This window comes from Homo sapiens, chromosome 9 (assembly GCF_000001405.40).
Source record: "Homo sapiens chromosome 9, GRCh38.p14 Primary Assembly".
Classification (NCBI taxonomy): Eukaryota; Metazoa; Chordata; class Mammalia; order Primates; family Hominidae; genus Homo; species Homo sapiens.
The window spans coordinates 5603054-5630857 of record NC_000009.12 but is presented as its reverse complement, the minus strand read 5'-3'; the positions used below and the strand labels follow the sequence as shown (position 1 = coordinate 5630857).

General features: G+C 40.4%; 1 protein-coding gene and 1 long non-coding RNA gene across 15 annotated transcripts in view, besides 4 other annotated features; one reads left to right on the top strand and one right to left on the bottom strand.

Moving 5' to 3' along the window:
- RIC1 (RIC1 partner of RAB6A GEF complex) overlaps window positions 1–1751 on the bottom strand; it is a 149527-nt gene extending 147776 nt beyond the window's left edge. For all 9 annotated transcript variants that reach the window (XR_428426.4, XR_007061331.1, XR_007061330.1 and 6 more), the window contains exon 1: window positions 1405–1751. Coding sequence is in view for 5 of the 9 variants with exons in the window: in NM_020829.4 (NP_065880.2) it covers window positions 1405–1548 (144 nt within the window). In the remaining 4 variants the exon portion in view is untranslated. The remainder of the gene's footprint in view (window positions 1–1404) is intronic.
- Window positions 931–1431: an enhancer, noted in NCBI's record as "H3K27ac hESC enhancer chr9:5629427-5629927 (GRCh37/hg19 assembly coordinates)". NCBI's record gives its function as "activates a minimal SCP1, AML or CMV promoter by ChIP-STARR-seq in primed H9 embryonic stem cells {active_cell/tissue: H9 hESC(primed)}" and the evidence as "EXISTENCE:reporter gene assay evidence [ECO:0000049][PMID:30033119]".
- The window catches only part of INCR1 (interferon stimulated noncoding RNA 1), a 172297-nt gene continuing 145623 nt past the window's right edge, over window positions 1131–27804 (top strand). For 2 of the 6 annotated variants that reach the window (XR_007061406.1, XR_007061403.1), the window contains exon 1: window positions 1131–1291. This is a non-coding gene — a long non-coding RNA (interferon stimulated noncoding RNA 1). Of the gene's footprint in view, window positions 1292–9376; window positions 24082–25922; window positions 25967–27804 lie in introns of those variants that run through there. The other 4 variants (XR_007061407.1, XR_007061404.1, XR_007061405.1 and 1 more) reach the window with 4 other exon arrangements.
- Window positions 1452–1991: a silencer, noted in NCBI's record as "silent region_19754". NCBI's record gives its function as "represses an Ori minimal core promoter by ATAC-STARR-seq in GM12878 lymphoblastoid cells {active_cell/tissue: GM12878}" and the evidence as "EXISTENCE:reporter gene assay evidence [ECO:0000049][PMID:35858748]".
- Window positions 3342–3561: an enhancer, noted in NCBI's record as "active region_28175". NCBI's record gives its function as "activates an Ori minimal core promoter by ATAC-STARR-seq in GM12878 lymphoblastoid cells {active_cell/tissue: GM12878}" and the evidence as "EXISTENCE:reporter gene assay evidence [ECO:0000049][PMID:35858748]".
- Window positions 21785–21834: an enhancer, noted in NCBI's record as "active region_28174". NCBI's record gives its function as "activates an Ori minimal core promoter by ATAC-STARR-seq in GM12878 lymphoblastoid cells {active_cell/tissue: GM12878}" and the evidence as "EXISTENCE:reporter gene assay evidence [ECO:0000049][PMID:35858748]".

Genomic DNA, 27804 nt, shown 5'->3' with positions numbered 1-27804 from the left:
AATTATTCAACTGGCATATACATTGTAAACGAATATCTCATTTAGGAACCAGATGATACTTTATATATATTTACACATATGTTTATATATATACACACACACATACATACATATATATTCAAAATACAATCAGGCACTAGACAAAATAGTCATATTGTTGGTATTACGATTTTATAAGTTTGTTTTGTTCTGATTTGCATTTGAAAATTAGATCAGCCAAAACTTGATGGCAAATAGTCTGATTTACAGCCCAACTATGACAGTCAAAGGAGACACCAGAATTACCCGTCACTAAATCCCATCACCAGTATTACCAGGGAAGTGGGTGAGGACTGTCAAGGGCATTACAGGTAATGGAACAGCAACACACAAAGATTTGGGGATTTTAACAAACTAAAACCAGTATTTCACGAACACCTAATAAGGACAAGATCACAACCTATCCCCACATGGTCAAATTAACTTGGAAAGGAGAAAAACTTCACTCTGACATCGATTGGTACTGCCTTCTTTGGGGAGGAAAAAAAGCATTTTTATACTCTGAACTCTGTCGTTCTCATAGACAAAGTTATAGCAGTGTTTGCAGAGAGTAGGGAGTATCCCATCCACCACTTATTTCTTTCTCATATCTACTCAGTAATTCAATACAAGAAAGAAAAAGATAACCAGGACTTAAAGCAAAAACAGAATTCAGTTCCATGCTCCTCCCAAGCCTTATTATTTCCAGGTGTTATAACTGGGAGTTCCGCGGACAGATTTGAGTTCTACTTCCGCTCCTTTAACCCCCTATTCCGAAGAGTCCAAGAGCAGCAGCAAAGAAAAAGACCAACTCGAAAGTGGGGAAGGGATGTTGGGGTTAAAGAGGGGAGTTAAATAACCAGACCTTTAGTGAAGAATAAAGAATTCAGGCTGTAGTTTGTAGAAATAAGTTATTACAGGCCTGTAAAGTCTGGCGCTGGGTAAAGCCCAAGAGGCTTTCCCTAACTCCAAAACGGCGACCTTTAAAGTAAGGGAGGGTTGGGGCACCACAGCGGCCGGATTTCTAATTGTGGAAAGTTTAAACAAATTTGTCCCTCGGGGAATGGGGGAAGGGAGAGAAGAACAAGTCTGGGCTCGGCCGGGGAGCGTGCGGAGTCTGCACGCCGCGGCCGTCGGTCCAACGCGGGGAGGCTCAGGGATTTTCGGCAGCAGCGACTTCATCCACCCCGGACCGCCGGCTGGAGGACGTGCCTGCAGCCGGCGGGTACCTGCGGCCAATTCGGTGGAACGAGGACGCGGACTGCGAAGGCAGGTGGGTCTGGCACGAAGGGGCAGGAGTCCTAGGCTCTGGGTGGAAGTTGGGGGTGGGACGGCGCCGGGAGGCCGGGGAGGCAGCGGCGAAAGGCGGCGGGCGGCTCTACTTACTCGGCTGTACCAGATGCTGAGGCGGGCCGCGGCCAGCACGGCGAAGAAAGCCCTCTGCGGGTCGGACTGAACGTGGAAAGGCGCCTCGGCCGGGCTCCCCAGAGGGCACAGCAGCCTCTTGGGCCAGCCGCTCAGAAAATACATGGTCCGTGCGGAGCCCCCGGCGCCCCCAGTTGCGTCCGTCACACTCAGCGGCCCCGGGCTGGTCGCCCACCTCCCACACCGCCACCGGCCGAGTCGGCGGCGGCGGCGGCGGCAGCTCGGGGCATCTGCCCGCTGGCCTGGCCGGGCCGGGCCGACGCAAGGCTGCGCGACGAAGGCACCCCCAAGCTGACGGGGCCGAGTGTGGGGGAGGGAAGGGGAGGGAGAGTAGGGACACAGAGAGGGCGGGAGGAGCGCGGAGGCCCGCCCCGACCCCGCCCCTTCCTCAGGCCGCGCGGGCGTCACCACGCCGCGCCGCGTGGGTCGGGCCGGGGAGGGCCCGCGCGCGCGCTCTGGAGACTCCTGCGGTCTCCCTAGCTGTTTCTTGAAGCTCTGCATAAGCCTCGCCCGCGGCCGCCGGGTTGCGTCCGCACTTCTGCGCGCTGGCCCCTCCCTTGCTCCTCTCCCTAGCAGTCTCCAGGGTTTTACCGGGAGGACCTAGGCAACGGCCTGAGACTCCGAGGCAAGTGGGGCGAGTCTAGGGATAACGCAGCAGCAAGGCTACTGGGCCGGTGGAACACGCCCTGGCCTGGCCAAATTGGACCTCCCTTCCGGATTGGCGGGGTCTCGGTGGGGGCGGGCCGGTTGCCGGGGGGAGCTGGAGTCACGTGACGGCCGGCGCGGTTTCCCACTTTGGGCTGCCGGCCGCTGTGGCTGTGGTGGGCGGTAGGGGCTTTTACCGTGTGAGCTCCTTTAATGCCGGGGTCTGCAGTGAGAGCTGGTGATGAAGCTCCTGCCGGTGTGGAGCTTACATCCCTAAGGGAGCGTTTATTTAATCAGTAAATAAACCACTCACCATGAAAGTATTGAGTTCTGTCTCCTGCCTTTCAGGAGTTCTAAATCTATGTCTTTGAAATCCATTTCCATTCGTCTCAGCCTTACCAGCCATAACTTTAGATGAGAGGAGGCTATCTCTTTCGTGCTGCAAAAGGCTTGGACTTAGTTTTAGAACTGGAAGGGACTGGTGATAGCGTAGGTCCATATTTAGCTTTTGGACCCCAGGTATCACCTTAGCTGTAACTTTCAACGGATTGACCCAGTGGTAACGTCTGAATAGAAGGAGGGTTGAGGGGATATGGTGTGGAATGGGGGAAGGAGGAGTCTGAAATAGAAGAAAGATTTGCTTCTCATTGTCTACCTTTTTTAGTACAGTTTGAATTTTTCCATATGTTTGTATTACTTTTTCAATTAAAAAGCCAGGTTTAAAAAATGACCCCACATTAAAAAGTAGCAACGTAGGCGGGGTGCTGGGGCTCACGCCTGTAATCCCAGCATTTTGGGAGGCCGAGGCGGGCAGATCACTTTAGGTAAGCAGTTCGAGACCAGCCTGGCCAACATCGTGAAACCCCCGTCTTACTGAAAATACAAAAATTAGCTGGGCGTGGTGGCAGGTGCCTGTAATCCCAGTTCCTCAGGAGGCTAAGGCAGGAGAATCGCTTGAACCTGGGAGGCGGAAGTTGCAGCAAACCAAGATCCCTCCACTGCACTCCAGCCTGGGCAACAGAGTGAGACTGTCTCAAAAAAAAAAAAAAAAGTAGCAACATAAACAGAAAAAAGGAAACAAAGAAACTTAATTCATATTAGATATAGCATTGTAGCTGGTATTCATAACCAAATATGTAACTTTCTGTAATTTTTCTAAACATTCACTGCATTCCCTGGAAGGTGATGATAGAATCCTGTATTCCTCAAATGGAGGTTGAAACTGCCTCACCACTCACCAGCCTGTTGCGATCAGATTGTCTCCTTGGCGTCTACCCTCCCCCAGTCCAACACAGCAGCCTGGAACATAGTAAGCATAGTAAGCTGGCAGTATTTGTCAGACAAACCGTGGAGGAAACCCTGATCCAGCTGAGCTACACCATTAGACAAAGAGGCCCAGAGAGGTTTCTTAACTTGCCAATTTCAAATTGTAGAATAACAAAGTTGCATCATACTTTCATCTTAGATTCAGTTATGCACTTGGCAGAAAGAGGAAATGAAAATGTTCTAGTGCAGCAATTTTGCTGGCAGTGTTACTGAATGTTTGTCCCAGCTGTCTCTCAGAGAGTCTTTGTTCTCATGTGTCTCAAGTTTGTCATACTGTGCTCATGGGCAATTTAAGGAACTTCTAAGCAATTTTTATTGCACTCAATTTTAACCTTACTTGCTGACTTTAGAAGCTTATTCCTCTGCCACACTCCTGTGTAGCACTTAAGATTCACAAAATAATTCCAAATGCTTGTCTTGATTTAATTCATAGTAAACATTCAAGGTGAGTGACATTGGTGTGATGTTGTTATTCTCACTTTCTCAAGTGAGGAAACAGGACAGGTGTGGTAGATGTGCCTGAATTCACATGGCCTGAAAAGAACTGATGTTCTTTCTACAGATCCAGTGTGATTTCTTTCTTTTTTTTTTTTTTTGAGGTGGAGTTTCGCTCTTGTTGCCCAGGCTGGCGTGCAATGGTGCCATCTCAGCTCACTGCAGCCTCCACCTCCTGGGTTCAAGCAATTCTCCTGCCTCAGCCTCTGGAGTAGTTGGGATTACAGGCATGCACCAACATGCCTGGCTAATTTTGTATTTTTAGTAGAGACGAGGTTTCTCCATGTTGGTCAGGCTGATCTGGAACTCCCGACCTCAGGTGATCCGCTCACCTCGGCCTCCCAAAGTGCTGGGATTACAGGCGTGAGCCACCGCACCCAGCCTCCTGTGTGATTTTTTTAAAAATTTAAGGTTTGGCTGGGCGCGGTGGCTCATGCCTGTAATCCCAAAACTTTGGGAAGCCAAGGCAGGCGGATCATGAGGTCGGGAGTTTGAGACCAGCCTGGCCAATATGGTGAAACCCTGTCTTTCTGCTAAAAAAAAAAAAATACAAAAATTAGCCAGGCATGGTGATATGCACCTGTCATCCCAGCTACTCTGGAGGATAAGGCAGGAGAATTGCTTGAACCTGGGAGGCAGAGGTTGCGGTGAGCCGAGATCGCTCCACTGCACTCCAGGCTGGGTAACAGAGTGAGACTTTGTCTCAAAAAAAAAAAAAAAAATTAAGGCTTATGGCATCCCTGCATCAAGTAAGTCTATTGTTGCTGTTTTTCCAACAGCATATGCTCTTTAGGCTGAACTAAATTGTGGTAATTGCTCTGGACAGTGAGAGGGAGTGGGGGAAACCTCTAGGTCTTTCTCCCTGGCGGGGAGAAAAGGAAATATCTGACTCTCCAAAACCCTATACTTGAGAGTTCCCCTATTGTGACAAAAATGTTATTGGCTGGATTTTTCAACATCATTTCTTTTTCTTTCTTTCTTTTTTTTTTTTTTTTTGAGACAGAGCATTGCTTTGTCACCCAGGCTGGAGTGCAGTGGTGCAATCTTGGCTCACTGCAACCTCCGCCTCCCGGGTTCAAGTGATTCTTGTGCCTCAGCCTCCTGAGTAGCTGGGACTACAGGCATGCACCACCACGCCTGTCTAGTTTTTGTATTTTTAGTAGAGATGGGGTTTCATCATGTGCCAGGCTAGTCTCCAACTCCTAGCCTCAAATGATCCACCAGCCTCGGCCTCCCAAAGTGCTGGGATAACAGGTGTGAACCGCCGTGCCTGGCTTCAACTTTCAAATATCATATTTTAACTTTATTTTGTAAAATATACTGACAGTTCTCATGCCTTAGGTCTTCTCCTCCTTTTTCTACTAGTTTCCACCACCACTCCTGTCAAAATTTTTGGACTCTGTTCTAAGATTAAGCTTATGATAAAAGTTAGTAGGGGGCCGGGCAGGGTAATCACGCCTGTAATCCCAGCACTTTCGGAGGCAGAGGTGGGCGGATCACTTGAGCCCGGGAGTTTGAGACCAGCCTGGGCAACATGGTGAAACCCTGTCTCTACAAAAAATCAGTCGGCACTGTGGCATACACCTGTGGTCCCAGCCCCTTAGGCGGCTAAGGCAGGAGAATTGCTTGAGCCTGGGAGGCAGAGGTAATAGTGAGCCAAGATCATGCTATTGCACTCCCACCTGAGTGAAAGGAATGAAATCCTGTCTCAAAAAAAAAAAAAAAAGTTACTAGGTGCATGTTTTCATCTATGAAACTTATAAACTTTTTAAATTACTAGAAATAATGTTGGTAAGAGTACACATAAGAAATGGGGATACATTTATACTCTCTTGATGGAAGTATGATTTGGTGCAATTTTTTTTTTTAATATAAGGTTTGTGGTAACCCTGTGTTGAGTGAGTCTATTGGCACCATTTTTTCTAATAGCATATGCTCACTTCATGGCTCTTATCACATTTTGGTAATTCTTTCAATATTTGAAACTTTTTCATTATTAGTATATCTGTTATGATGATTTGTGGTCAGTGGTCTTTGTTGTAACTATTGTAATTGTTTTGGGGTGTCATGTACCACATCCATGTAAGATGGAGAACTTAAGCGATAAATGTTATGTGTGTTCTGACTGTTCCATCAACTGGCAGTTCCTCTGTCTCTCTCCCTTTCTTTGGGCCTCCCTATCCCCTGAGATGCAACAATATTGAAATTAGGCCTGTTAGTAACCCAACAGTAGCCTCTAAGTGTTCAAGTGAAAGAAAGAATCCCCGTCTCTCACTTTAAGTAAAAAGCTAGAAATGATTAAACTAAGTGAGGAAGGCATATTGAAAGCAAAGATAGGCCAAAAGCTAGGCCTCTTGTACCAGTTAGCCAAGTTATGAATGCAAAGGAAAAAAAGTTCTTAAAGGAAAGTAAAAGTACCACTTTGGAGAACATAGGAATGATAAAACAAAACAGCCTTGTTGCTGACCTGGAGAAAGTTTTAATGGTCTGGGTAGGAGATCAAGCAAGCTACAACATTCCCTTAAACCAGACGCAGTGCCTCATGCCTTAATCCCAGCACTGTGGGAGGCTGAGACAGGAGGATTACTTGAGCCTAAGACTTCGAGACCAGCCTGAGCAATATAGCAAGACCCCATTTCTTTAAAAAAAAATGTTTTAATTAGCTGGGTATGATGGTGTGCACCTGTAGTCCTAGCTACTTGGGAGGCTGAGACGGGGATCACTTGAGCCTGGGAGTTCCAGATTACAATGAGCTATCTGCGCCACTGCACTCTAGCCTGGGTGATAGAGTGAGACCCTGTCTCTAAAATGAAGCAAAAACCAGTTTTTAAAAAGCATTCCCTTAAGCCAAAGCCTAGGCCAGAGCAGTGCCCTAGCTCTCTTCAATTCTGTGAAGCCTAAGGGAGGCAAGGAAACTGCAGAAGAAACATTTGAAGCTAGCAGAGGTTGGTTCATGAGGTTTACCAAAAGAAGCTGTGTCCATAACATGAAACTGCAAGGTGAAGTAGCAAGTACTGACGTAGAAGCTACAGCAAGTTATCCAGAAGATCTAGCTAAGATCTTTGATAAAGGTGGCTACATTAAACAACAGATCTTCAGTGTAGACAAAACAGCCATCTGTTGGAATAAGATGCCATCTAGGACTTCCATAGTTAGGAAAAGTCAGTGCTTGGCTTCCAAGCTTCAAAGGACAGGCTGACTCCCTTGTTAGCGGCTAATAATGCTGGTGGCTTTTTTGGTGGAAGCCAGTGCTCATTTACCACTCCTAGAATCCTAAGGCCCTTAAGAATTATGTCAAGTCTACTCTGCCTGTGCTCTATAAATGGAACAGCAAAGCATGGATGATAGCACATCCGTTTCCAGTATGATTTATTGAATATTTTAAGCTCTTGTTGAGAACTACTACTTGGAATGAAAGAGTCATTTCAAACTTTCACTGTTCATGGATAGCACATCTAGCCATCTTAGAGTATTTATGGAGACATACAAGGAGATTAATGCTGTTTCCTTGCCTGCTAATGCAGTATCCATTCTGTAGCCCATGGACCAAGGAGTAATTTTGGCTTTTAAGTCTTATTATTTAAGGAATATATTTCATAAGGCTACAGCTGCTATGAAATGCAGCTATACATAGTGAATCTGCTATACATAGTTCAAACTTTCACTGTTCACGGACAGTGCATCTAGCCATCCTAGAATTCTGATGGAGACATACAAGGAGATTAATGCTGTTTCCTTGCCTGCTAATGCAATATCCATTCTGTAGCTGTGGACCAAGGAATAATTTTGACTTTTAAGTCTTATTATTTAAGAAATACATTTCATAAGGCTAGAGCTGCTATGAAATGCAGCTATACATAGTGGATCTGCTATACACAGTGATTCCTCTGATGGATCTGAGCAAAGTGAATCTAAAACCTTCTGGAAAGGGGCCAGGTGCGGTGGCTCACACCTGTAATCCCAGCACTTTGGGAGGCCAAGGCAGGCAGATCACAAGGTCAAGAGATCGAGACCATCCTAGCCAACATGGTGAAACCCCGTATCTACTAAAAAAATAATAATTAGCTGGGCATGGTGGCACCCGCCTGTAGTCCCAGCTACTCGGGAGGCTGAGGCAGGAGAATTGCTTGAACCTGCGAGGCGGAGGTTGCAGTGAGCCGAGATCGCGCTACTGCACTCCAGCCTGGCGACCGAGGAAGACTCCATGTCAAAAAAAAAAAAAAAACTTGGAACAGTCACTACAGCCTTCAGCAACCACCACCCTGATCAGTCAGCAGCCATCAACATGGGACAAGACCCTCCAGCAGCAAAGAGATTACTATTTGCTGGAAGCTCTGAAGATCATTAGCATTTTGTTAGCAATAATATATATATTTTGAGATGGAGTCTCGCTCTGTCACCCAGGCTGGAGTACAGTGGTACAATCTCGGCTGACTGCAACCTCCGCCTCCCAGGTTCAAGCGATTCTCCTGCCTCAGCCTCCCGAGTAGCTGGGATTACAGGCGTGTGCCACCATGCCTGGCTAATTTTTGTATTTTTAGTAGAGATGGAGTTTCCCCATGTTGGCCAGGCTAGTCTTGAACTCCTGACCTCAGGTGATCTGCCCGCCTCGGCCTCCCAAAGTACTGGGATTATAGGCATGAGTCACCATGCTCGGCTGCAATAAAGTATTTTCTAAATTAAAGTATACACATTTTTTAGACAAAATACTATTACACACTTAATAGATGACAGAACAGTCTAAACATAACTTTTATAACTACTTGCAAACCAAAAAATGTGTGTGACTCATCTTATTGCAATATTCACTTTATTGGGTTGGTCTGGAACCCAGCCTGCAATATCTCTGAAGTATGCCTGGATTTCTTTCCTATGATTATTTTCTAAGGAAATAAACACTGATATTTACAGAATTTTAGCTTTAAATCTAAAGGTGTATCTAAGTGGGAATAATCTAAATGTCTCCAAAAAGACATTAATTACTGTCCTTCCTTACACCTGAGTATTTTGCAAAAATAAAAGCTTATGTTGAGGAAGAATATTTAATCACTTGGAAGTATATTCAGTATATATTAGAAAGTAATGAAAACAGATTAAATACAGTATGTAAAATATAATCTCATGTTTATAAAAAAATTACATATGTGCCTAATAAAAAATGGGGAAAATGCAATTATAGGTACTTTTTATGTTCTTCCTTGGGATTTTGGATTTGCCAAATTGTCTGTAATGAGTTCATGTTACTTTTGTGATAAGAATAAAGTTATTTTAAAAAGTTAAATTGCTTATGATTAGTAATGTCCTGTTTGTTTGTTCTGCTTTAAGTAGGACCTTGCAGAACTGGCAAGTCAAAGGGAGTAGTGTAATGTGTAGCTTCTGGCTCAGTCCCAAGCCTAGTGAGAAGAAGATGAGGAGGAAGGGTACCCTGAGTCACCAGATTAAAAGTAGGCCCTGTGTACTTTCGCACGTATTCACAGGCTTGTGATGATGGAGCTGTGGCTGGATTTTGGGTCTGAGCATACTACTCTCGGTATTTGGAGACCTCCGTAAGAACCTATGATAATATCCATTGAAAATGGTACTGCTTTCATTTATGACTTTAATATATTTTTAATATTCAACCTGATTACACTTTTATCGTATAAACTGTTGTATTTGCTTCCTGGGTGGCTTTTTTTTCTGAGATGAGTCTTGTTCTGTTCCCCTGCTTGGACTTCATTGGTAAGATCTCGGCTCACTGCAGCCTCCGCCTCTTGGGTTCCAGCGATTCTCCTGCCTCAGCCTCCTGCGTAGCTGGGATTACAGGCATATGCTACCACGCCCAGCTAATTTTTGTGTTTTTAGTAGAAATGGGGGTTTCACCATGTTGGCCAGGCTGGTCTTGAACTCCTGACCTCAGGTGATCAACCCACCTAGGCCTCCCAAAGTGCTAGGATTACAGGCGTGAGCCACCTTGCCTGGACTGGGATAGCCTCTTGATTTCATTTGTCCCTTCTGAAAGTAAGTAATATCTCAGCTGAATTGATATGATGTCTGGGTTTTGCTTCAAAATAATCTGGGGGTGAGTGAAATATATATGAAACAAAATTGGCCATGAGTTGTTTTTCTTTGAAGCTGAGTGATGAGTATAGTCCTGTACCATATAATGATGTTTCAGTCAGTGACAGCCTGCATTTAGAATGGTGGTCCCATGAGGTTATAATGCAGCTGAAAAATTCCTATCACCTGGTGACATGATACTGTCATACTGCCATAACACAATGTATTACTCATGTGTTTGTGTTGATGCCTATGTAAACAAACCTATTGCACTGCCAGTTAAATACGAGTATAACACAATTATATATAGTATATGATACTTAATAACAAATGACTATGTCACTAGTTTATGTATTTACTATGCTATTTTTCTTTATTTTAAAGGGTACGCTTTCTACTTAAAAAATAAACTTAACCGTAAAACAACTTTAGGCAGGTCCTTCAGGGAGGTATTCCAAAAGAAGGCATTGTTACAGGATATGACACCTCTATGTGTGTTATTGCCTCTCAGCAACTTTCAGTGGGAGGCCCATGTGGTGGCTCATACCTGTAATCCCTGCCCTTTCGGAGGCCAAGGTGGGAGGATCCCTTGAGGCAGGAGTTCAAGACCAGCCTGGGCAAGGTAGCAAGACCCTGTCTCTACGAATCAATTTTTTAAAAAACTAGTCAGGCATGGTGACACATGCCTGTAGTCCTAGCTACTTGGAAGATTGAGGCAGGAGTATCACTTGATCCCAGGAGTTCCAGGTTGCAGTGAGCTTTAGTCACGCCACTGCACTCCAGTGTGTGTGACAGAGTGAGACCCTGTCAAAAAAAAAAAAAAAACTTAACAGTGGAACAAGATGTGGAGGTGTAAGACACTAATATTAATGACCTGACCCCGTGTAATCCTAGGCTTACGTAGTTGTGTCTTAGTTTTTAACAAAAATGTTTTAAAAGTTTTTAAAAATTAAATTTTTTAACAATAGGCCGGGCGTGGTAGCTCATGGCTGTAATCCCAGCATTTTGGGAGGCCAAGGTGGGCGGATCACTTGAGGCCAGGAGTTCGAGACCAGCCTGGCCAACATAGCGAAACCCTATCTCTACAAAAAATTTAAAAAATACAAAAATTAGCCGGGTGTGGTGGTGTGCACCTGTAATCCCAGCTACTCAGGAGGCTGAGGCACGAGAATCTCTTGAACCTGGGAGGTAGAGGTTGTAATGAGCTGGATCCCACCACTACACTACAGCCTAGGCGACAGAGTGAGACTGTGTCTGAGAAAAAATAAAAATAAAAATGGGCCACGCTTGGTGGCTCACGCCTGTAATCCCAGCACTTTGGGAGGCTGAGGCAGGTGGATCACGAGGTCAGGAGTTTGAGACCAGCCTGGCCAACATGGTGAAACCCTGTCTCTACTAAAAATACAAAAATTAGCCAGGCGTGGTGGTGGGCGCCTGTAATCCCAGCTACTTGGGAGGCTGAGGCAGGAGAATTGCTTGAACCCAGGAGGCGGAGGTTGTGGTGAGCCGAGATAGCGCCATTGCACTCCAGCCTGGGCAACACAGCGAGACTCCAACTCAAATAAATAATAAAATAAAAATGGATAAGAGCTTATAGAATAAGAATATAAAGAAAGAAAATAGTTTTTATACAGTTGCACAACATATTTGTGTTTTAAGCTGTTATTACAAGAGTTTAAAAGTTTAAAAAACTAAAGTTTATAAAGTAAAAAATTACAGTAAGCAAAGGTTAATTTATTATTGAAGAAAGAAAAATTTGTAAATAAATTTATTGCCTAAGTGTACAGTGTTTATAAAGTCTACAGTGGTGTATAGGAATGTTCTGGGCCTTCATATTCACTCACCACTCATCCAGTGACACCCAGAGCAACTTCCAGTCCTGCAAGCTCCATTCATAGTAAGTGCCTTGTATGGGTGTATCATTTTTTTTTAAATCTTTTATACCGTATTTTTACTGTAACTTTTCTGTGTTTAGATATGCAAATACTTATTGTGTTATAATTGCCTATAGTATTCAGTACAGTAACATGCTGTACAGGTATGTAACCTAGCAGCAATATGTTATATTGTCTAGGTATGTAGCAGACTACAACATCTAGTTTGGTGTAGACTCTTTGTTCACAGGGTGACAAAATTGTCTAACAATGCATTTCTCAGAACATATCCTTGTCATTAGGCAGTGTGTGACTGTACTTGGGAGTTCACTGTGTTATCTGCTCCACTTTGGTATGTGGTTGACATTTTAAATAATATTAATAAAAAATGTAAACATTTAAATTGAAAAGAACATGTCAGTAACTGGTCATATGTGACTAACCAGTCTACTTTGTCCACAATTCTCCTCACAGTTCATAGTGTTAAATATTAGTTCAAATCATTTAATTAACCTTAAAGGCAGGATGGCTTATTGTTAAGCCTTAATGGATCTGAGTGAGACTTTCTGGGCTGGAGCATTAGCACAAACTGGAAAATAAAGCCAAACAGCCTACTATTGCTAACCAAGCAAAATGGGAAGGGTCGTTATGTTTGCTCTTCACTTTAGTCTTTTTAGAAATGAAAACTGATTGGAAACAGAATTGATTCTACATAAATTAGCCAACAGTAACAATTGTGTTTGACCATGTCCCTATCAGTTCTCTAGTATAAAAAAAAAAAGTCATACCTGCATTTTCAGTGTGTATTCTTTACTAAAATGGCAAGAGGAGTTGGAACAAGACATTTTTAACCCTATAATTCTGAGATTCCCACCCTACTCTCTATTCAGACAAATATGCCTTCAATAATTTAGCCAAAATTTCATATTCATTGTGTCAGTCCATTATCTCCTGTATGTATCAGTGAACTTAGAGTCAAATTCATTACCCAATCATGACAGACTTTTTTCATCTAGCAGAACTGAAACTCTATACCCATGAAACATCAACTTCCCTTTCCTCCTTTTCCCCAGACCCTAATAACCATCATTCTGCTTTCTGTTTCTGTGAATTTGACTACTTCAGATATCACATATGAGTAGAATCATACAGTATTTGTCTTTTTGTGCTTGGCCTGTTTCACTTAGCATAATGCCCTGAAGGTCTATCAGTGTTGTAGCATGTGACAGGATATCTTTCCTTGTTAAGACTGAATAACATTTCATTGCATGTATATAGCACATTTTGTTAATCCATTCATCCGTCCATGGACATTTGAGTTGCTTCCACAACTTGGCTGTTGTAAATCTTGGCTATTGTAAATAGTGATGTTACGAACATGGGTGTGCAAATATCTTTTAGAGACCCTACTTTCAATTCTTTTGGATATATACGCAGAAGTGGGATTGCTGAATCATATGGTACTTCTACTTTTCAAATTTTTTAGGGACCTCCATACTCTTTTCCATAGTGGTTGCACCATTTTACAATCCCACCAACAGTGCACATGGGTTCCAATTTTTCCATATCCTTGCTAACACTTGTTATATTCAGGCTTTGTTTTTGTTTTTGCTTTTAAATGATAGCTATCCTAATGGGTGTGGTTTTGGTTTGCATTTCTCTGATGATTAGTGATGTTGAGCATTTTTTCATATACTTGTTGGCCATTTGTGTATCACCTTTGGAGAAATGTTACTACCTTTGATATACTGTCACATCAGGAGATCTGCATAAAAGGTCAAACCCCAAGAGGAAATCTTTAACTTTTGGGGGATATAATTTTAAATTATCTGTCAAGTTTGAATGGGGTTATTCCTTATACTTAAAAGAGTTATAACAATCTTACAAGTATGACATCTTAGTCAGAATGGGCCTTAAACACATCCAGTCCAATCTCCTGACCCAACAAGAATATAAGTGGATTTCATAGAGTAAATTTATATATATTTCAAACATAGAAATCATTTATAAAAGCCATTAAGAGTTGGTATAAAAGGAATATACCTGTGAAACTGAACAACCAATACACTTGAATGTAAGAACTTGAAAAGAGATATGGAAAAATGGCTACCAAATGCCCCCCAAAATACATTATTTCCTTTATTGTCTTTTATTTAAAAAAATTAGGACAGCTATATTTGCAGTCATCATCTCCTGAAAATATAATTATTAATTTTTTCTGTTCTGAGCACTTTCTAATTTTTCTTTTATCATCAAAAAATAATAAGTACTATTTTTAAAATTGTTAATTTGTTATCAAGGAGATCAGTTTTCCCAAAGTGTGGTCCAGTCATCTGGATCAGAATTGTCTAGAGATATATTTAAAATACAGATTCCTTGGCCAAGTCCCAGGCTTTCTGAATCCGGAGTCCTTGATGTTGATGGTATGGCCCAAGAATTAGCATTTTTAACAAATATCCACTATGAGTCTCATGCATATTAATAAGGTTGACATTTCTTTAGGAGGAAAAAAAAGTGTCCGGTGTGTACTTTGAATATGGTCTGGAATCTCTGTACTCAACCTTCTGTTAGTTTGTAAACAAGTCAAAAAGTGCACTGGATTCCTGGGAGATATGGCCATGATCCCTTCTCCAGCAGATCTGAATTTTCTTGATTTCCTAATGAGAGAGCTGTCTAAGGATGTAAAAATTGTGCTGTGAAAACCAGATAAGACCAAGTAGTGGAAGTGACCTTGGGTCATTCAATAGCAATTATGGGCAAGTTAAACCTGACCACCTGGCCCCTGCTGATCACCTTCATATTGCCCTGCTAGCCCTAAGTTACCTTTAACCGTTTTTTTACCTGCAGGTGGAAATGTTAATATCTGTCATACCAGGTTGTTATTTTTTTAAGTGCTAGAAACCAGGCACTGGCATTAATCTGTGCCTTTAGTGGTATATTGTGGATTAGTCACAAAGAACTTTGTGTCTAATGATTGGTACTGTTACATAAATTATAACAGTAACTAGCATTTATTCTGCACTTATGTACTAGATACTGCTCTAAGCATTTTACATTATTTAATTTTTATCCTCTCAACAATCACATGAGATACATATTATCCCCATTTTACAGATGAGGAAATTGGGGCTTAGAGAAGCTCAAGGCTCACAGAGCTGGAAAGTGATGGAGTCAAAACTTGAACCCAGAATCCCCAAGTTTATCAACTTCACTATACCATCTCTTTCCACAAACTTATTTTCTCACCAACTAAATGTATATAATAATTTATGTCAGGCTGTCTTATTAACTACATTTTTTTTAACTCCTAAGGTATTTGTTTTTACTCAATCCTTCATGTATAAAATTACTTTGCTAAAGAAATGAAGGAAATCAGTATTTTCACATTTACTTGGAGAATAATATCTTGTGTATCTTAGGCAAAAATGAAAACAATAATTTATCTAAAGGGTCATGTGAATTCTTGAAAATAAACAGTGCTGTAGATCTTTCTGTGGCATACATCCATGGATGTAAAAGTAAGAGAGGGAAGAAGGAATCACATCACCCAGGTATGATGTTGAAGGCTATAAATGAATCAAAGAGTTAACATTTAACAATAGGATCATATTTTAACACCATTTTCTTTCTTTCTTTTTCTTTTTTCTTTCTTTTTTGAAGGGGGTGAGGAGGGGAGGGACTGGGGCTGAAGAGTAAGGGCGGGGGAAGAAGTCTCCATATTTTAACAACATTAATCCATCCACATCATTTAATATATAATACACCAAAGGCAGAATCTCCCTGTACCCTGGTCACTTTCTCAGGATGCCCATTGTAATGCGCTACAGGCTCTTACTGTCCTCCACAGTTTCCTAGGAGTTGATTGTTTTCTTAGCTTATGCTGCCACTACGTGCTGCTTTCCATTAGAGGGGAATCTTCTTCTGTAGGACTTGGGAATCCCTTCTGTAGGAAGGGAGCAAAGTGTCCCAACATCTCCCCTAACTGGACACCTCTCTAACTCCAAGCAAACATATTGTTCTCAGAGGTTTTCTGAGGATTCCTGTGTGGTAAAGACAAAAATGTTTGCATGAATAGCAAGACTCCCTCCATATTTTTATCTTGACCAGTAAATGAAAACATGGGTTTAAATCAGCTGTATGTGTGGATTAGAAAACAAAGTTGACCATTGCCTATATATACTTCATCATTGAGTCCATGTTCTTCTATGATCAAGCAGATAAACAGTTTACCTGTTAGTATTTGTTAAAAAGCAGTGAGGGGTGGCTGGGCGTGGTGGCTAATGCCTGTAATCCCAGCATTCTGGGAGGCTGACGTGGGTGGATCACTTGAGGTCATGAGTTAAGACCAGCCTGGCCAACATGGTGAAACCCCGTCTCTACTAAAAGTACAAAAATTAACTGGGTGTGGTGGTGCACGCCTGTAATCCCAGCTATTTGGGAGGCTGAGCCAGGAGAATTGCTTGAACCCAGGAGGCAGAGGTTACAGTAAGCCGAGATCGCACCACAGCCTAGGTCACAGAGCGAGACTCCCCATCTAAAGAAAAAAAAAAAAAAGCATTGAGGGGTTATCCAGCTCTGTAACTCAAATCTCTGGTGAAAGTGCTGTTTGACTGGAATGTGGTGAGCATATTGGGCGTCTTCAAGACTCAATGAATGGGGATTGAGTGCTTAGATACTCTAAAGATTATCTCAAAATATTCTGTTATTGCTCATACAGTTCCTTCTTGTGGTTGGAGTATTCAGAAGAAGAAATGTCTACTTACAACTTTATTTTCCTCTCTGAATCTACAGATTTTATAAAAAATAATGGGCATTTCTAAGTTTGCTCTTCATGAATGTGTTAACAATACCCCAAGCGACTGCTTCAAAAACCAATTTGTTTCAGATTATTATAACAGCCATGTAAATTTAAGTATGATGTCTCAGGCAAAACTTGGTTAATGCGGACATGAAGTTGAATATATAAAATTAATGACAGATATTAAAATGTGTAAATGCAATTGATTTTTTTTTTCCAGTCTCACTGTCGCCCAGGCTGGAGTGCAGTGGCACAATCTGCAACCTCCGCCTCCTGGGTTCAAGTGATTCTTGTGCCTCAGCCTCTGCAGTAGCTGGGATTACAGGTGCCTGCCACCATGCCTGGCTAATTTTTGTACTTTTAGTAGAGATGGGTTTCACCATATTGACCAGGCTGGTCTCAAGCTCCTGGCCTCAAGTGATCTGCCTGCCTCGGCCACTCAAAAGTGCTGGGATTACAGGGGTGAGCCACCATGCCCGACCTAAATGCAATAGTTAACAATTTACAATACCATTAACCTTAACAAGGCAAGATTTTGCCCATGCCCATGTTATTCCCTGAAAATTTGGGCACCACTGGATGTCCAGTTAATCAGTAAAGATGATAGAGTCACAAGTTGAGAAATGATCCTATAAGTGTAGTAAAAGTGGTATAAAAGAGCCTCATTGACCGGGCGCAGTGGCTCATGCCTGTAATCTCAGCATTTTGGGAGGTCGAGGTGGGTGGATCACGAGGTCAAGAGTTTGAGACCAGCCTGGCCAATATGGTGAAACCCCGTCTCTACTAAAAATACAAAAAATAGCCAGGCATGGTGGTGCGCGCCTGTAGTCCCAGCTACCTGGGAGGCTGAGGCAGGAGAATTGCTTGAACCTGGGAGACGGAGGTTGCAGTGAGCCGAGATCACCCCACTGCACTCCAGCCTAAGTGACAGAGGGAGACTTTGTCTTAAAAAAAAAAAAAGCCTCATTCAGTTTATGTTTGCATGAAATATGATACATAGTATTACCACATTCAGGCCATATGAGTAAATTATACATCCTCCAAAATTATATATATACATTTGTCTTTCATTTACTTATGACCATTTACTCAATGTTCTGTTTTTAACGTGTTAGCATTTTCTTTCATTATTCCAGTTATTAATGGTTGCATTTTCTGGAATCTCTTCTTATTAAACTTGGGTAAATATAGAATACATTTGAAAAGAACAGACCAAGAGAGAACTTCTGAAAGAAATTCCATTCAATCAAGCAATCAAAGAACCATCCAGTGTGTCAATATTCAATAATCCCCCAAAACCTTTGTCTCCTGTCTCACAATGACACTGTCAGCTTCAAGAACAGGAAACCATCATCAGAGGCTTCTTCCTAGAGACTGCAACCCCATGCTTTCCTTCCAGCATTGCCCCATCCACTCCAACTGGGTCCTCCTTCTTCATAGGTCCACCGTTTCTTTGCTCTTTGTCTTAGTTTTGGTTCCCCCAGAAGCCAGATCCTAAGGCATTAATATGTACACAAGTAGCTTACTTGGGTAGTGATCTCAGGAAATATGGGCAAGGGAAGTGAGACAAAGAGGGAAGGCAATCAATAAAAAGGGCATGTTTTCAAGTGGGTTAGTACTGTGGGTAATGGACTTAATCCCTCTGGAGAATTTTGGGTACCAGTGTAAAATTCATGCCTCTGAGTTACTCTACCAGAGTAGCAAAGGAGCTGAAGTATTCATACCCCAACTCCTATCAATCATTAGTTAAAGGCTGCACTTAAGGCATTACATCTCCTCAAACCTATGCTCACATATGGAGCTCCAGCCACCAGAGAAGGCCATTAAGCAAGATGGTCCAGCTGCTGGCACTTGGTAAGGCTCAGGAGACATGGGCAGGGCACCAACTGTATCTGCCACACTGCTATCTGTGATCCCAATCTAGTACACTAAGACCCATGATTAAAAGCCAGGGATTACAAAATAGGAAAGAAGATCAAAGGCTTTGGAGTCAGACTGATTGGTTTCAAAACCTGATTTCTTAACCTTTCTAAGCTTCAAAATTCCATAGAGGATTGTTACGGAGATTGAATAATGTAATCCATGTAAAAGTATCCAGTATTGTGACTAGCACATAGTACATATTCCCAAAAATGCTAGTTAATAATATTAACACCTGATCCCCTCATGGAGACATAAAACTGAACAGGACCTACTTTGTTCTCTGGCCAGATTGCCCAGCAGGGACCCAGCAATTCCAGTTTTGCTACTGGCATAGCATTTACACTGGTGTCGGTGAGCAGAACTGACTAAAGGACTGGGCCTCAGTTCAAGTAGTCATCAAGATATGGCCAGATGAAGCCCTGCATTGTCATCAGTGCAGAGTGGGTTGCTTCAAGCTGCGTGGGGCTCTATGGAACCCGGAAGAGTAGATGGATCTCCTAAGGAAGGAATAGGTTCTAGAGCAAGCCCACCTGGTGGTCCAACTTAGCCTCTTTACACTATTTTCCTACCCAGCCACTCAGTCTAAGTTTTTTAATGTTTATGAGAAAAAGGGAGAAAAGAACTAGTACTTATCCTTCTCAATATCAAGTTCTAATGCAGCAATATAACTGCCCTTCCAATAAGCAAAGTATTTTTGGAATTCCTTAGTTCAAATGAAATTACATGGTTCACATGCTCAAGGCATTTTTTTCCAAATGTTTTTCATTCCCAGTCAGTAGAGACCAGACTTTTGGAAAAACTCAAACTTTCATTAAAGCTCAGCCATGCAGGATATAAAAGCTGGGTGGGTCCACTTTGATTTTGCTTCGTTGCTAACCATTTCCACTTAACTGACAGCAAGAACAGATTTTTGGAAGAGAATGCAAAGGGCATGGAGAGGCCCGTGACATCACATAAAAACTCTAGCAAAAGAAAACTTAGAGAAGAAAATTTACTGTATTTTCCAAACAGCAGAAAACACTAATTTTTCAATTTTTAATATAGAATCTGAAATAAATATATAGCAAATTTATTTCAGTACAATATGGTATTTTTCTAAATCACTGATCATGAAGACTACAGTTGAAATACCAAATTTTAAAAAACAGCCACTAATATTTATAGACCCCTAATAAAAATATTGCCTTCCCTTGGAAAACCAAACATCATATGTTCTCACTCATAAGTGGGAGATAAGCTATGGGGATGCAAAGGCGTAAGAATGACACAATGGACTTTGGGGACTCAGAGGAAGAGTGGGAAGGGGGTGAGAGATAAAAGACTACAAATTGGGTTCAGCGTATACTGCTCAGGAGATGGATGCACCAAAGTCTCACAAATCACCACTAAAGAACTTACTCATGTAACCAGACACCACCTGTTCCCCAAAAACCTATGGAAATCAAAAATTAAAAAATAAAAATATAGGAAAGTGCTTTGTACATGTCAAAAAATGTTGCCTTTCTTAATAAAAATAAACGGTTCTCCAAAGTTCACTGGAAGGAGAATCTCCACATGGGGAAGAATAGCTAGATCTTACATCCTGCTAATTTTGTCTTCCCTTGGCCTGTGGGGGAGGGCGCTATTCCCCTCTTTACTATTGTCCTAAGACCAGGCAGTGGACTGGTTTGATCCCAAGAACACTCCCTAATAAAATTCCTTCACCCCAATCTCTGTCCAGACTGTGCTTCACTGAGAACCCAATTTGTGGCAGTTACCCATGGCCAAAGTACATAGACCTTAACACTTTAACTCCCCAAGTCTAGACCCAGAAAAGTGAGAACAAGAAAAAGTCAAAGCAGCTTATTGACTGTGTGGAAGTGGCTTTGTTCAATTGATTGGTGGTGGTAATGATCACTCCTTTACAGGAGGAAGTTAGCCTTTCTCTTTTGAGGTTTCTACATGATAACCATATTGGAATATATCCCAATAGGTAGAGTATCCATAAAATTGTGAGTTGTGGGTTTTGGGGGCATTTTGTTATACGCTATCTTAGAAATAGAGTCCAAATCAGTTAATAAAAAAGAAAAGGGAGAGTGACAATATTATTGCATAGAAACGAAAGAAGTACTGATACATCTCACTTTGTAAAAAAAGAAACACATTTCAGAAAAAGTTAGCTATGAATTATATTTTTATATTAAATTTTATTTTAAAGTCAGTAATGAAACACACCATCTAAAGATTTTTATGACAGTTTTTTGCAGCGAAAAGCTTACAAATTTACATTATTACCTTCCAATTTGTTATTTTGTGAAACTAAAAATGATAAAAATTTCTTTTTTTCTTTTTTCTTTATGAAAAGGGTTTCCCACTCAAAATTTATTTTTATCATTTAAAATGATAAATGATTAAAATTTTTTTATCATTTAAAAGTGTTACTCTTTTAAATCACTGAGATGATTTAAAATAAAGTATATTACTGAAAATCTTAAAACCACAGCAAGACACTTAATATAAAATTACATTAAACTCTAATTAGTTTCTTTTGGCCCAATATTTTTAGATAAAGAAATTACTTCAAGTTGCATATGCTATAATGTTCTTGAGATTAGCCAAACTTTTTCGCAGTACTGGAACTTTGTTGTATTATTATTGCTCAAAATAAATTCATTGACAAAGAGTTATTATTATCTCCCTAACAATTTTATTTCTAAGGCTATGTTTTGATAATGGTTTTAACATTCATCCTGGATGAGTGGCTAAGAATCTGGAAATGAAAATTAGGAATGTACTTATCCTCTTCTGCCAAAGAGTGTTTTCTTTTTCCCCCAGATTAGTAGTCACAGAGTAACCATGGATTATGGTTACCAAATTGGTACCAAATTTGGATCTCGTATGGAGAACTCGGCCTTAGCTCGAATGCAGCAATTCACATTTAAATAAAATGAATATTTAGATGCTGTGCTCAAATTTAGATAAGAGTATATTGTAGTGATTCTGGGGGAAATCAGTCTTAAGATCACATCTATTTGCAGTGGAATGAGGAATTTCCTTTGGAGAATAATTAGTAGAACTATTATTGCAAAGCTGCCTAAGCCCTCTTATGTGATATAATCAGAGGCAACTGGCAAAAGAACATGAGTCAAGAATATCCCTCGGACAGCCTGTACCTAGATCAAAAATACTGACGTGCACTCTCTTACGAAGAGTTTCAGATGCATAAGACTTTTTTTTTTTTTAAAAACAGGCTTCTAGGTAACAAGTCACTTCACTTCTCTGGGCCTCTTAAACTTCTCATATGAAAATAGACTAGATGAACCTGGAGAGACATTTTCTGCCTGATGTGGAAAGTGAAAGTGAAGAAATTAGCTGTATTTCCTAACACTCAGGAGGTAGGTGCAGGGTCCATAGCTCCTCCAGCTCCTGTGGATCTTATGCTTCAGCTTCTCTAACTCTTGGGTCAGAGGTGTGTTTAACTCCTCCTCCACCAGAGGTTTGGAGGTGGTGAGAGACCAATGCAGATTCCAGTCCATCCTCATGGATTCCAGTTTGTCCTCGCTTCCTGCTCTCTACCTCCTGACCACTGGTCCTGTGAACTTCAGCTCCAGCACTAGACACAGAAACAACAGCCTCCCCTAGAGAGTATAACCAGCTTCCACAATTGCATACAGTCAAGTCTCTAAATCCGTTTTGTCAATTTATCTTAGTAGTTCTACTTCTATGAACAAACCTTGACTGATTACATTTGGGTTGTTATGTTTTTAACAAAAAGTGCTACTGTGCATATTCATGTTCATATTTTCTGGTGCACTTGTGCAAGCATTCCTCTACAATATATACCTGAGCTTACATATTGCTGGATTGTAGAATGTACAGTACTTAACTTTGTAAGATAATGCCAAATCCTATTCCAGGGTGGTTGTGCCAATTTATGTTCACACCAGCATTGTTTAAGAGTTCCCGTTGATCTGTCTTTGGGAAAAATTAATATAGTAATATTTCTTTTTAAATGTTTTTTAGAGACAGGGTCTCACTATGTTGCTCAGGTTAGAGTCAAACTCCTGGGCTCAAGTGATTCTCCTACTTCAGCCTCCTAAGTAACTGGGACTACAGACATCCACCACTGCACCCAGCAGTAATACTTAACTTTAGTTCATCAGGAGAGTATAATATGTTTACTCATTATAATCTTAATTTACATTTATATGATCACTGTGAAGTAGAGAATCTTTTCATGTATTTTTTCTTCATTCATATTTCCTCTTTTGCAAAATGACTATTCATGCCTCCCTTTTTTGTGGCATTGTTTGTCATTTAATTATTGATAAATAGAAAGAGTTCTTCATGCATTCTGGAAACAAATCCTTTAGTGTTATATGCAGTGGTGTACTGGAGCTGGCTTGTGTAGACTCGTCTGAGAGATTTTGTGTATGTCTTCCTAACTTCATGTTTAGCAACATCATGTTGGTGGCTTGAAATAAACTTTTCCACCTTGAAAAGAATCAAACCCAACAAATCATGGCTTTTTTCATCTCTGCAAAGCTAGGTTTTTAAAACATGTATGGGCGTACCACTAGTTATATATAGCAAATATCTACTACTGGCTTGTCGCTTGTCTACAAATTCTTGTTTGGAGTATTTTGAAAAATAGAAAGTCAAATTTGTTAATCTCTTCAGTTTTAGATAAGTTTTTTGGGGTGTTTTGTGTTCTCAGTTTCAGACAAGCCTGTTTTTGTTTTGTATGTGTTTTCTTTACCCCAGGAAACTAAAGATATTATCCTATAGATGTTTAAAATATCAGCTTTCACATCCAAGTCTTGCATGCATCTAGAATTGACTTACGTATCATGTTGGGTAGGAATCCAGTTTCATTTTTCCCCATATTCTCCCAGCACCACTTATTGACTAATTCTCCCTTTCTTGATTATATACAATACCACCTCTGTTATATATGATGTCCAAATATGTGTGGCTCTGTTTCCCAAGTCTCTACTATACCATTAACCCATTTGTGTATTGCAGCGTTAATACCACTCTCTTAATTAACTTTGTAATCAAAGTCCTCAAACAGGATAAAGCATACCTCCTACCTTGTTCTTCTCCAAAAGAGTCTTTGTTATATTTTTGACCTTTGTTCATCCATAGGAATTTTAGAATCAGCTTCTTAGTTTCTTGGGAAAAAAAGTGTGATTTGGCATCAAATTACACTGAATCTGTAGGTCAAATTGGGAAAAACTGGTAACTTCACAATAGAAAGTCTTCGTTTTGAATGTCGTCTTTTATTTATTTCTATAGTAGATCTTCTCTGATGTTTATCAAATAGAGTTTTAGAATTTATTCCATATAGGTCTCCTATAACTTCATTAGATGTAATTTATACTTTTTTGTTGTTATGGTGTATTAGTCTTTTATGCTGCTAATAAAGACATACCAGAGACTGGGTAATTGATAAAGAACAAGAGGTTTCATAGACTCACAGTTCCACGTGGCTCGGGAGGCCTCACAATCATGGCAGAAGGCAAAGGAGGAGCAAAGTCATGTCTTACATGGCAGCAGGTAAGGAAAGCTTGTGTAGAGGAATTCCCCCTTATAAAACCATCAGATCTCGTGATATTTACTCTCATAAGAACAGCACAGAAAAGACCCAACCCCGTGATTCAATTACCTCCCACCGAGTCCCTCCCAAGACATGTGGAAATGATGGGAGTTACAGTTCAAGATGAGATTTGGGTGGGGACATAGCCAAACCATATCATATGGTAAACTGCTTTTATACTTTTTAAATTTTCTGTTTGTTGCCAATGCTTAGAAATATATTTGGTTGTGCGTATTGGTCTTCTATTCAGCCATGTTGGTTAGCTCTGTTATTGTTAAATTATTATTTATTTTTGAGACAGAGTTTTGCTCTTGTTGCTCAGGCTGGAAGTGCAATGGCATGATCTTGGCTCACCGCAACCCCTGCCTCCCGGGTTCAAGCGATTCTTCTGTCTCAGCCTCCTGAGTAGCTAGAATTACAGGCGAGTGCTGCCACGCCTGGCTAATTTTGTATTTTTAGTAGAGATGGGGTTTCTCCATGTTGATCAGGTTGGTCTGGAACTCCTGACTTCAGGTGATCTGCCCTCCTCGACCTCCCAAAGTGCTGGGATTACAGGCGTGAGCCACACACCTGGCCAGCTCTGTTATTATTACCAAGAATTTGCCTGTAGATTTTGTGGGACTTTCTGTTTAGAGAATTATATCCTTATGAATGAAGTATATTCCAATACTCCTACCTTTTATTGCTGTTCCCAATCTTTGTACTTGTTGCTGCTTTTTCTTGTCTTAATGCACTTAGAAAATCCACTATAATGTTGAGTAGAAGTAAATAGGACTTCTAAGTCTTGTTCCTGATTTTAATAAGTCTGCTCATTATCTGCTGCATCTTTTGAGATTATCATATTTTTCCCCTGTAGTCTGTTAATGCGGTAAATTTTACATATATATATATATTTTTGTTTGTTTGTTTGTTTGTTTGGTTTTTGAGATGGTGTTTCACTCTTGCTGCCTAGGCTGGAGTGCAATGGTGCGATCTCAGCTCGCTGCAAACTCTGCCTCCTGGATTCAAGCGATTCTCGTGCCTCAGCCTCCCGAGTAGCTGGGATTACAGGTGTGTGCCACCACACCTGGCTAATTTTTGTATTTTTAGCAGAGAAAGGGTTTCACCATGTTGGTCAGGCTGGTCTCAAACTCCTGACCTCAGGTGATTTACCTGCCTTGGCCTCCCAAAGTGCTGGGATTTCAGGCATGAGCCACTGTGCCTGGCCAATGAATTATATTTTTATATTTTCTTTTCTTTATTATTATTATTATTATTATTTTGAGACAGGGTCTTGCTCTGTTGCCCAGGCTGGAGGGCAGTGGTGCCATCTTGGCTCACTGTAACCTTCACTTCCAGGCTCAAGTGATTCTCTCACCTCAGCCTCCCAAGTAGCTGGGACTACAGGCATGTGCTACCAAGCCTGGCTAATTTTTGTATTTTTTTTGGTAGAGACGGGGTTTTACCATGTTGCCCCGGTTGGTCTCTAACTCTTGGGCTCAAGTAATTCACCCACCTTGGCCTCTCAAGGCACTGGGGCTACAGGTGTGAGCCACCATGCCTAGCCATATTTTTTATTTCCTAATGTTTAACTGCGCTTGCATTTCTGGTTAAACTCAACTTGTTTATGATGTATTATCTATTTGAAATAAACTCCTAAGCTTGTTTCATTAGTATTTAATTTGAATTTGTAGCTATGTTTATGAGTGAGATTGGTTCAAAAGGTTTCTTTATTGTCCTGTCCTTCTTTGGTTTTGCTATCAAGGTTACGTTAATATCATTGAGTGAATTGTGTCATAGTCCCTCTTTTTCTGTTTTATAGGACATTTTTAAAGATTGGAATGATCTCGTTCTTGAAACCTAGGTGTAAGTAATTTGTAAACATATCTGAACTAAATATTTTCTTTGTGGGAAGATTTAAAAATATTGATTGCATTTCTTTGGTAGATACAAAACAATTCAGGTTCTCTGTTTTTGAGTAAGTTTTGGTAAATTATAGTTTTCTAGGAATTTGCCCATTTCACCTAAGTTTTTGAATATGTGGCCTAAATTGATTCAGAGTAGCTCATCTAAAAAAATCTTTGCCTTGTCTGTGATTAGGTCCCTTTTTATTCTAATATTGCTTATTTGTGCCTTCTTTTTTTTTCCTCGCTCAATCTCAGCAGAGATTGTTCTGTTTATAAAATAAAACTTTTAATTTTGTGGATTCTTTTTTTGTAGCTTTGTTTACTTTTTTCTGAACCTCTGTTTTTATCTCTGTTATCTATTTCCTCCTACTTTGATTGTTTTTCTATTTTTCCTCCTAATTTCTTGAGTTGAACACAAAGCTCATTAATTTTTAACCTTTCTTCTTGTCTGAAACAAGCTTTCAAATTAATAAATTGTCCTTAGAGAATGACTTTGACTGTTTTACAGAACATGGTAGGTGATATTTTCATTATCATTCGGCTTTTAGGATTTTTACATTTCTTCCATAATTTTTTCTTTGACACATGAATTACCTACAAGTGTGTTTCCACATTTTTCAATATATAAGAACTTTTATAGATTTATCTTTTGTTATTGCCTCTAACTTAATTACTTTGCGCACAGAGAATGAGGACTGTGTTATAATTTTGTGAGACTTGCCATATGGTCTAATAAATGGACAATTTTTGTAATTGCACTATGATATTTAAGAAAAATAAGTGCATTTGCCAACTGTTGGATGCAGAATTTTTATCTATTTGATTGTTATTAATTGTGTTGTTCAGATCTTCCATATTTTTAATATCTTTGCTTTGGGTGGTCTGTTGGTAATTGAGAGAGATATATTGAAAGCTCTCATTGGCAATTTCTCTTTGTAGTTCAGTAAATATTTGCTTTATATATTTGAAACAATTTTTCTAGGTGTAAAACTTTGAAGTTATTATATCACTGACAATTGGAACGTTTATAAAAATCAAGTAGTGGTCCCTCTCTAACTCTAACGATACCTATTTTCATCAGTCTATTTTGTGTGATTTTTAATATACACTTCTGTTTTTTTGGTTACTGTTTTCCTGCTACATCTTTCAACCATTTTGTGTCTTAAGTTTTAGGTTTTTCTTTTGAAAGAGCATGTAGTTAGAGGTTTTTTGTTTGTTTGTTCCCCAATCTGTCTTTTACTATAAAGTTTAGATTTATATTTATTATAATTATTAATATATCTAGACATTTTCTACCACCACACTTTTAATTTTTATTTGTCCAACTTTTATTTGGCTTTCCCCCTTTTCCTTTATTGCTCTCTACTCAGTTGATTGGGGTTGGGCTTTTGTTTGTAAGTTTGTTTTCTTTTTCCATTTTTCTCTCTTCTATTTTAGAAGTTATTGGACTTTTTGTTATCTGAAAATTGACTATAGTGACTTAGAAAAATTGCACCGAATATTCTGTATCTGAATAAAAAATCCACTGCAATGAATTCACATTCATCTGCTAGCAAAAGACATTGAAATTGCATGTAAGTCCAAATGAAAAGATGTAGAGTCCATTTCAGTCATAGCCGTTCTCTAGTAAGCTCACATATTGTGCTCCCATTACTTAAATAGGCATGGATTGTCACTATTACTGTATTTTCCACATTATTAAAGTGAAAAAGCTTATTAAAGGACAGAAAATGCCATAGAGAAAATAAGTGAATGTAAAATATTCACTGCATGGACACCAGACATTTACTGTTGTGC